This window comes from Homo sapiens, chromosome 1, assembly GCF_000001405.40.
Source record: "Homo sapiens chromosome 1, GRCh38.p14 Primary Assembly".
Lineage (NCBI taxonomy): Eukaryota > Metazoa > Chordata > Mammalia > Primates > Hominidae > Homo > Homo sapiens.
Genome location: NC_000001.11, coordinates 87,557,765 through 87,568,012, shown reverse-complemented (window position 1 = coordinate 87,568,012; position 10,248 = coordinate 87,557,765). Strand labels below are relative to the sequence as shown.

Here is a 10,248-nt window from a genome sequence, read left to right as displayed (position 1 = left end):
TTCAGCTTTACCATCGTGCAAAAGCAATACTCATTCAGGTCACTCCTTGACTTACAATGGGGTTGTTACATCAGGGGTTACATCCTGATAAACCTGTCATAAGTTGAAAACAATACTTTTAACTTTTGATATTTTCAACTTACAATGAGTTTATTAGGACGTAACACCACCTAAGTCAAGGAGCATGGGTGTATAAAAGTCTTTAAAAGAGAAAGCATAGAACGAAATAGACTGGACAAATCTCAGGAAGAGAAGAAATTTTTAAGAACAAAGGGCTCAGATAAAATGTCTTGTCCCTTCAATCTGTTTGCCAAATTGCAACTAAAAGGATCATTCCACAAATCAAATCTGATAATAATAGGGATAACAAATCAAATTTGATAATGATATTGATATTGATAAGAATGCTAATCAGAACTTACACTTATTGAGTGCTCAGCATATGCCAGGCATCATCATAAATACTACCTCTACTGGACTTTTTCTAATCATATCTGCCCTGTGTTGACATGTCTTCATTGGCTTTCCATTGCCCTCAGGATAAAGTTCCCACTTTAACAGATCGTATAAGACTTTGCTTAATCTAACCTCTCTTTTAACCTTTTCAGTCTAATTTCCCACTCTCTACATTCCAAACATCAGCCATCAAGGGCACTTTTGCTCCTTCTTGTCTTAGGACCAATCTTACTTATTTTGAAGGTTTCAACTCCAATATCACTTTCTCTAAGGAACCTTTCCTGTTCCTACACATCCTGGTGAGTTGTCCCTGCTGTGCCAGAGCACCTGTGCTTGCTGCCATCAGTGCACTTATTCCAACATGTAATTCTCTGCTTACATATTCTCCATTAGGCCATAAATTCCATATGGACAGAGACACTGGATGCCATGCTTACAGATTGTTCCCAGTAAATATTTATGGAATTAATAAATGGATAAATAAATTCTTATTCCTATGTATTACATAAAGGGAGAGGAAGCAGAGGTGATTCTTTTTGTCTGTTTGAAGCCTACCTTCCCCTAGTTGGGAGTATAGAATTCAGTCTCAATGGTGTTCATGTCAGGTGAAATCACCCTAGAGAACAGTTGGATGTTCTCTCTATAGTCTAGCACAGTGGTCTCCAAAATAGGCTATATAGGATAACCTTTAGTTATGCAGGAAGAAATATTTGAATGCTCATTTATAGTTACATTTCTATAAAAAGAAGTCCTACAAGCATTTGCTGTATGGACTGATGCTCGTGCCCACCTCGATGTGTGTGTCAGGTAGCCTTGAGTGGTGTGGTAAGCACTGGATCCTGGACAGGAAGTGATAACACACACAGCACACAGTTAACACAGGTTACATGGATGAATATAACGGATTTGTAGAGCCTGTTACATAACTTGAGTGATACTAACTTCATAATGTCTATATCCTGTACAATAATTTAATGTTTTTAAATTGCTGCAAAAACTACAGATTGAAATTAATGCAGATTGTAAAAATATCACAGATCCGTGATGATACCAGTAATGTATAAGCTGGTTACTCTTCCTAGCAGAGCTCTTCAATAGCCACATTTCTAACCAAATTAAGGACAATATAATTTTATGTGACAATAAGTCGGCCAAAAGTAATCAAAATCATTTTTTAAGTACTACATTTATTATCATCAATGATAAATTTTGTGTGGGTGTTGCACCTTGGTTTGTCAACTGATGATAGCATCACATGTATATAATTTGTAAACAAACGTGTATAGGTGTAGCTTGAAGGATTTTTTTTTAATTGAGGGGTGCTCAGTCAAAAGAGCTTTAAAGAACACTGATGGAGAAGGAACAAGTATCTTCCTTCTTCCCCATTCCACTTTCCACCCTGTCCCTGCCAACGCTCTCAAAGCCTGAAGCTTGCTACTGCTTTCAACGCTGCTTTACGGTTCATCCGACTCTGTGATGCCTGCCAGTTTTATGCATCTCATCCAGGCCAACCCTCTGCTCCCTGCAACCCTGTTGCAGAAGTCAAGCCGAATTAATGGAAAGCAGCTTTTAAGTAAAACCTTTAAGACACTGGAGAAATATCTCCACTGGTTATTCCCTTAATATCTTTGTTAGTGGAAAAAATACACTAGCAATTCCTGAATACAATAAAATATAAGCTCTAATCCTGCTCTCTAGGAACTGGTTTAAAAAGATAGTGTGTAAACCAATGTGAATTGTAAAAGATTAACTCAGGTCAGTAGTGTCAAAATCTTCCTTCTTTTTCCTGACTTCAAGACAAGTAAGCAAGGCCCCTTCAATGGTCTGGTGACTGGAGGTGAGGGTGGGCTCAGGAATATCACCCCATATTTTTCACTCTGATATTCATTAGTGCCATTTCAAGGGCTTTCACTTCATCATAGAAAAGTTGTCATCAAATTTCACAAAAGCCAAAACTGTCATTAATTAATGCATTACATTTTATTGGATCCGGATGGAAACTGCCGGAGCTATCAATATACAAAGTTTTGATGATTTTACTGGAAATCTTAGAAATGGAACAGTTGTCAAAGAATAGAGGCATTCTTTGAGAGTTGTCTTCCAAGAGATTTTTAAGAGCTCCCCCTAAAATTTGACATATTAATGATCTACTGTTCAACCCAACATTCCTTGCTATGAAAATGTTTAAAGGAATTCACTCACCATTGTCCTTGTTACTTGGAAATGAATGCTTATTGATCACAGGTATTGATCTACTACTTTAGATAAAAACAATACTTTTCAAAGTACACTCGAAAGAGTTTAAGGACTAAAGCAAAAATGTAACTCACACTGGTTACTATGTGATTGATCACAACTGATTCTGCTGCCATAGAACATAACTTACTGTGACACTGCTTATCTGGGCTCCAGAGCCGGCCTTCATTGAACTGTGCGCTATGTATGAATCATTGATGTGGGTTTGCATATTTTGTTAGATTCACCTTTCAATCTATTTTACATAGCTGACTTACATAAAAGATGAGTGCTACTCAAAATTCTTCAGGAGAAATGTAACAATTATGAATGTAAGTGATCTCTGGTGATTTTGTTCACCTGGTAAAGCTAATTCCTGCTTTGTTCAGCCTAGCTCATTTAGGGAGTATTTTTCCAAATGAAATATCTTTGTTTTCCATGTCAGAAATTTTTTAAAAAGAAAAAAAACACTGGTTAAAATCTTGCAAAGTTCAGGAAATGGGAACAGCCAGGTGTATGTGAGCAGAGAGAAACTGTAAAAGATTTGTCCCTTGAGAACTGTAACATTTGAACTTTATATCCTGACCTGCCTTAATTCGACCTCATTTATTCATTTCATTGTAACTAACTAAAATATATATTTTTAACATTTGCAGGGGATTAGATGAAAGTGCATAGAAATGGCAGTGGACATACAGTGATATAATACCTCTCCATCACATTATGGGACATGAATTCATGATCTCTCTTTGTCCATGTGAGAACAGGGTTTGGCGATATAAAATGACAGCTGTTTTCATCTAGCTTTTCTTCCCAGTCAGTCTATTTCATACAACAGTCCATCATTAAAGATCATTACTGTATTACCATTGTTAACAAGGAAGAATAAAGCCTACGCCTTTGTCTTTCTTAGATATAATAAGTCTTATGGAACAAGAGTACCCTAAAGGCCCTTCGCTTCTAAAAATGATTAAACTTCATTCAAATCACAGCCTGTAACCCACTTCTGGGCATAGTATCAAAGTCAGCTCCATAGGTGTGATCTAAGGCAGTATACTATTCCTGCCTCAGGTTTTGCACAAGAGTAGTTTGCATGCATTATCCTCAAAGAACAGATTGCCTTTTACCAAAATCCTATGCATTTTGGCACTTGGTGAGTGTCTTAGATGGCATTAACTGTAAAACATTTCTTTTTACATAATTATGGCTTTGTTTTGAGTGTGTGCTAAGATGGTTGTAAAAGTTTTAAATGTGAAGGGCTTCGGGAATAAGAGAAAATCTTTGAGCAAAAATGAAAGCCTGTTGTTAACAATTAAAGTTAAAAAATTTTCTGACAGTCTTTCAAAACTTAAAAAAAGCTCTAAGTGATTATTTTAATAATTGTTCCCCAAATTATGCCATTATTGGAAATGTATAGGAAATACAAGTTGTGATGATTGCAAAACACCTGGAGAATTAGAGCTATTGTTTTCTGGGCATATTTATGTAGCAATAAGACAATCTTTGTCAATAACTGATAAAAATAAGTGCAGAGAGACCTGGTGTTCATTCTAATAATGAGAAATCCTTCCCAGTACTCAGAAAAGGTCTTTGCCTCAAGGCATTTACTCAGATTCCTGAATCCACCATCCTTGCCATGAATGTGTTAATTGACATGCTTGTATAAATTTTAGTAAAGCCATAATATTTTTGCATGGCAACTATTAAAAATATTTTTTCTCTTAATTTCACCAGGGAGGCTGAGACTCTGAATTTTTCCCCCTTGCAGGAGGGAATAATTTAGATTTTCTTCCATCCCTGTCAGAAGTTGAACAGACGAACAAAACAGATTCTTCAGAGACAATTTTACACAGAGTTACATCCATCCAATTCAATTATAAATTAAATTGACTAACGAACCATAGCTCATTATGGGAATCAATTACTCAGAACTGTCTTTGGACCAAAAATGTGGAAAATAAAAAATAATGGTCATACTTCAATATACCAGATTGTCAACGTTTGAAAGCTCTGTTTTTCTCTAGCTTGGCATAGTCCAACGCCAAAAAGAAATGATAATCATTTGTTTTACTGCTCCTAGAGATGTTCTCATTTTATGAAGACTAGTTAATTCTTAAGTTTTGATCTCTTTGGGACGAGTACCTCAGGCTTTTCTGAGATGACAGGCCAACCCTGGAGTCATGTAATCGCATGGGGATCTTTCAGATCAACTTATGCAAATGTGTTATTAAAAGGAGCCCCATTTTAGCCTCTAGTGCCACCCAAGCAATAAGTCAAAAAATCTTGGGAGGTCATGTTAGAAGCATTTTATTAATACAATGATTCTAGTAACAGGGTAAGGGAGGCCATAACTCTCTGGAGTATTTTCAGTCCAATTGTTTGGTAAAAGTAAACCCATTGATAACCCAATGGCTGCCTTATTTACCAAGCAGTAGGGGCTAATGAAGGAACAGTATTAAAGCAGTAACACTTCAAAGTCTTTCTCCTTTTGAAGTCCACAGCCCAGAAATTTTCCATCTGCTACAATGAACAAAAAACTGTTGTGTTTTGAACATGTGTAAGTAAAGGTGATATGCATGAACGCATACATATACCAATATAGGGGACATGTCCTGCATAGTGCAGAAGCTGTTGCCCACTTAACGTGTCATAATAAGGTGGCCAAAGAACTGTGCTAAGACATTTTTTCGGGGAATTGAACTACCAAAGATGCCTTAATTTTACTTTTCCACTTATACTTTGTATTCACTTGTATTTGGAGAGTAGTAAGAATAAATATTTCCAACTCAAGTGCTCACCTAAAGAAGTGAGATCTCTAAAAAAAATACTGCTACGTATATTTTTGTCATCCAAAGGAGCCAAAAGGAAATTGTTTACTCAGGAAAGTTGTACTATACACGAAAACAAGTTAATCCCCATAAATATATAATTCAGCATCATTTTGCTTAGAACCTCATACTTTAAAAACATCAGTTTCTCAAAATGGGTTAAATTTGACTTTGTTTTCACTAAAACTTTTATTTTTTGAAATATCAGACATAAAAGAAAGTGGCTGGAAATTTTCAAATGTGTTTTTTGGCTGATAATGAAGAGGGGGACAGAGCTTTCCTCATTTATTTACTTTTTTACCATTAGAACAAGGGAAAAGAATAATTGCATTTCCCATTATGTTCAACAGAAAGGGAAGAAGGAGGAATGGATCTGTAATTAGAAATATAAGCATTTAAGAAAAGGTATCTTGAAAAAATAATTTCAATAAGTTGGACCATAGTTCAGGAACTCAGTTTCAGGATTCATAACTAAGAGTTCAAAGATTACATAATATGTTTTAGTTTGAATGATTTAAAAGGGAGTTTGGTTATTTTCTATAATAAATAACACAACTCAACTCGTTTTTTAATGGCCTTCTCTTTTGTTAACAGCTCAAGACTTGGGTCAGGCCTGGATTCAAATCCTGATTCTGTTCCTTAACATCTGGAAGACAATGGGCAAGTCAGCTTCTCTAATCCCAGTTTCTTAACCTTTAAAGCTGGAATAATAATAGTACTTACTTTCTAAAGTCATTATGAAAATCAAATAACATAACGCATGCAAAGTACTCAGCACAATGCCTGGCACACAGTAAGATTCAATACATTTTAGCTATTATTCCTGCTATGGTTATTTTTATTTTATAATTCCAGAATATGGAACAGCACAATTCACAACCCAAATGGAAAAGAGTATTCTTTCTTTTCACTCTATTCTCAGGCACTTTGTTAAAACTGCGCCATGCCCTGTTTCTCAAATGGCTAGCCAGTGCAGGCCATGAGTGGTGTTTAAGCCTGCAGCTGGGCATCGGCAGACTCCTGTGTAGCACACGGTGCAGTGCCTTCTTTCAGGCCCCTCACCCTACAAGAAGCTCCCTCACTCCCCAGTCCTTGGCCACATCCCCAAACTAAACAGTGCTCAGGAGGTCACCCCTCAAGCATAGGACCATCACATAGAATCACTACCAAGTGTGTGATATCTTCTCTGTAGGCTATAAACACCCATGACTGGGAAATCAGATAAACATTTCTGATAATTTGTCAGAATTTTGAAGACATGCTTCTTAAAGGTCTCAGGCATCATCTAACAGTGCATTACATGAATATTTTGCTGGTGAGCCTACATTTGACAGAATATTAGTGTTATCAGAAGTAAATACCTTTCTCTTTACTCCTTCATGTAGCGATAGGCAAAGAATCTAAGTTTGAGAGGCTGAAATCAGACTTGCATTATTTTGCAGTCCTTCTTGGCAAAGGCTTCTGCTGTTTTAATTTTAACCAATTAGAAGAGCCAATCTTCTTTTATTTCAGCAATGTATTAAAAGATATCACATTCAAAGGCTGGACATGCCTGCAATTAATTACTGGTGTCCGGCTAAAGGTCTACCATTAGCTATTGCCATGACAACCTTTAGAAGGCCTTGGCCCACCTGTTGCAAGATAGAAACAGCATTAGGCAGTTGGTTCCTGCACTTGGCCTCCCTCTGGCCTATGGGGAATTCGTACTAATTAGAATTAGTTGTCCTTCTGTAGTCCAGCTCCTGACACAAATTGCATTCTGTAGCTTTTTGTTCCACTTGAGTTCACAGACAAAATAGCCCATGCCATGTTTGAAATGAAGCAAGGCAATATAAAAGGATTTTATGTAATTGGCTAATATACTTTAACATTCTAACTAATATCTTCAGTGTTGATTTCTTGGAAGGAGTTTGTTTGCTTTCTTCTCCTTTGACTCAATAGTTGTTTATGATCATATAGGATATAATTTTAATACAGCTTATTAGGGTGTCATTAACCCATTGTCAGGCTCAACTGCATATGGAACAAAACAAGTGACCTTTAAAAATGATAGTTTGAAATGGCCCCATGGTGATGGTGAAGAGAAGTACAAACAACAGAGAAAACGAAAGGACACTTTCTCACGTCTCACTGAAGAAAAACTTTATTGAAAACAAGAGCCTGTGGAGGAAGAGCCTTAATGAAATAAAAAAGCCTGACCATGAAAGAAATTATTAGGATGTTAGCAAGTGCAGCTTTGCTGGGAAGAGGGGTCCACAGGCGCTGTGAGATCCAACAGGATTCAGCCACAGGACACACAAAGGGAGACCTGAGAAACACTCATGGACACTTCCTTGGTAGGACTAACTTTTAAGACATGCTCTCAGGTTAACATTAGGCATGAAGTGAGGAAACGCCACAAGCCCTTTCTTTACCTTACTACCTCTTACTGCAGAGGAAGACACGAGCTGCGGCGGTCAAACAACGTGGTCTAAGAATAAGAAGTATAATCTTTTTTTTTTTTTTTTTTCCTGAGATGGAGTCTCGCTGTGTTGCCCAGGCTGGAGTGCAGTGGCTCATTCTCGGCTCACTGCAAGCTCCGCCTCCCGCGTTCAAGCAATTCTCCTGCCTCAGCCTCACGAGTAGCTGGAACTACAGGCACCTGCCACCACCCCAGGCTAATTTTTTGTATTTTTAGTAGCGGCGGGGTTTCACCGTGTTACCCAGGAGGGTCTGGATCTCCTGACCTCGTGATCCGCCCCCCTCGGCCTTCCAAAGTGCTGGGATTACAGGCGTGAGCCACCAAGCCCAGCCCCCAGAAGTATAATCTTTCCGTAGAATCATTTTAGTTATTTCTAGAAATGGTAAAACTCCAAAATAGAGAGCCAAATTGGTAATTTTAAGGATTCCTGTTAGATTTTTCAGAGACGAAGGAGCCTGGCAGCTTTAATGTGCCCAGCGCATTTTAGTTCTGACCTGGAAACAGGACTTGATGCTGTGCTTCGCTTCTCCAGGTACCCAACTTTCCAAGTAGTCATGAGACAAATGGCTTCATGTGTTTTACTGTCTCTCCATACAAGAAAACTTCTAAGCAAGGTATCTTAATCTTCCCACAAACAAGCAAGACACAGTTTTATTTTATTAAAAGAGACCACTAAGAGCTAAGAGAGTGTTTTTTTCACGATAGATGTGTTCTTAGTTGAGGACTGTTGCAAAACCACCATTTGCTTGTTCATGAAAAAGGAAATGTAAGTAAATGTAAGTCGTTTTAAAATAAAATCTATACACATCCCAAATTCGTTCTCTAAGCTTCCATATCAACCTCATATTGTTCAGAATGGGACTGAAGCCAAGAACAAATATCTCTCTTCCCTTCTCTGACTTTGAATCTGAATTCTGAAATGATAAGAGGTACTTTAAAATTCTTAAAATAGATGGATTTAGGAATGTCTGAGCCAAGGTAGAGCCTAGTTACTCATAGATAAGCCAGAACTGCCTTCGTGAGTATATTAAATGTAAAATGTATAAAATGTGCAAAATCTGCAAGAAAAATCACTAAAAAGTCCAAGGAAATTTTAAAGTCTCATTTTAACTGAGAAAATTACCTATCTTTTCAGTCTTTTGTGTGATATTGTAAAGTACTGTAGAACTACTTGGGAACAACAAGAAAGCCATTCTTTAGAAAACAAGAATCTTCCAGATGAAAATGCCAATGTGTTTATCAGGGAACAGGCCTTTCTACATTTTCTGTGGGTTGGGCAATTTAAAGTTTTTTTATTTGTTTGTAAAATTCTCTTTTGTCTTGAGCCATTAGGGAGGAAACAAAAAAAATTTTTCACTCAAGCATCTGTAAGAGAGAACACTAATAATAATAATAATAATAATAGAAATGAAAACTAACCACAAAACACAATATAAACCACTTTATACTCCCATTTGAATAGGCCAGATTAGTTCATTGACTTGCCAGCATGAACAAGTTGAACAGTCTACAGAAAATTCTCCATGGACTTGCCAGAGTATAAAATGGACAACCCTGAAACATGTTTCAGTTGACCCTGATGCTCTTATATGTAGAGTTGCTTAATAAGGACAGAGGTTCCATGAAGACGCAACATTAGTCTCTCTCTAATATTCTCTGTGTTAGTGGTACTGCTTTGGAAATCAATTCACATTTATATTAAGATTTATTCCAGGAGTCATCTCTTTCAGCCAGCCTTTTCTGCTCTTACCTCCTGCTACTCCCAAATATGGATGAGGTGCATCTTGATGTTCTCTTGTGGCAACATGGGCTTGCCTCCTGCTTATCTCTTTATGTTTTTGTGGGCATTCCCTCCAACCTATAGGTTTCCTAAGCAAACTTTATCCATCTTCCCATGAATACCAAGTAAGTCACAGAAATTAGTTTTACTAAAAGGGAGCCAATAAGAGCTGAAAAAAATGTTCTTGCCAATGTTCTGTAATCTTCTGTTTATGTGCCTGCTTCCCCTAATGGTCTGAGAGTCTCACAAGGCAAAATGTGGATCCCCCTAATACCTGCCATCATGCCCAGCACATAGTAGGTGCCTAATAACTGTTTGATAAGTGAATAAATGCATGCATGAATACGTTTCATTATATTCTGACCATCACGATAAAAATAACAGCTAGCTTGACATTTACCTTTACTCTACCTGCTTCACAAGCTGGATGAAACAAGCCCATTTCAGAGGATTAGCATTTTAGTGAAGAATTTGTTCTTTGGCAAAAT

At 37.3% G+C, this 10,248-nt stretch overlaps 3 annotated features.

Moving 5' to 3' along the window:
- Positions 6,360-6,861: an enhancer, noted in NCBI's record as "NANOG hESC enhancer chr1:88026835-88027336 (GRCh37/hg19 assembly coordinates)". NCBI's record gives its function as "activates a minimal SCP1, AML or CMV promoter by ChIP-STARR-seq in naive H9 embryonic stem cells {active_cell/tissue: H9 hESC(naive)}" and the evidence as "EXISTENCE:reporter gene assay evidence [ECO:0000049][PMID:30033119]".
- Positions 6,360-7,833: a biological region, named in NCBI's record as "VISTA enhancer hs1161".
- Positions 6,493-7,833: an enhancer, noted in NCBI's record as "VISTA enhancer hs1161". NCBI's record gives its function as "enhancer in: forebrain[6/7]" and the evidence as "EXISTENCE:transgenic organism evidence [ECO:0001131][PMID:17130149]".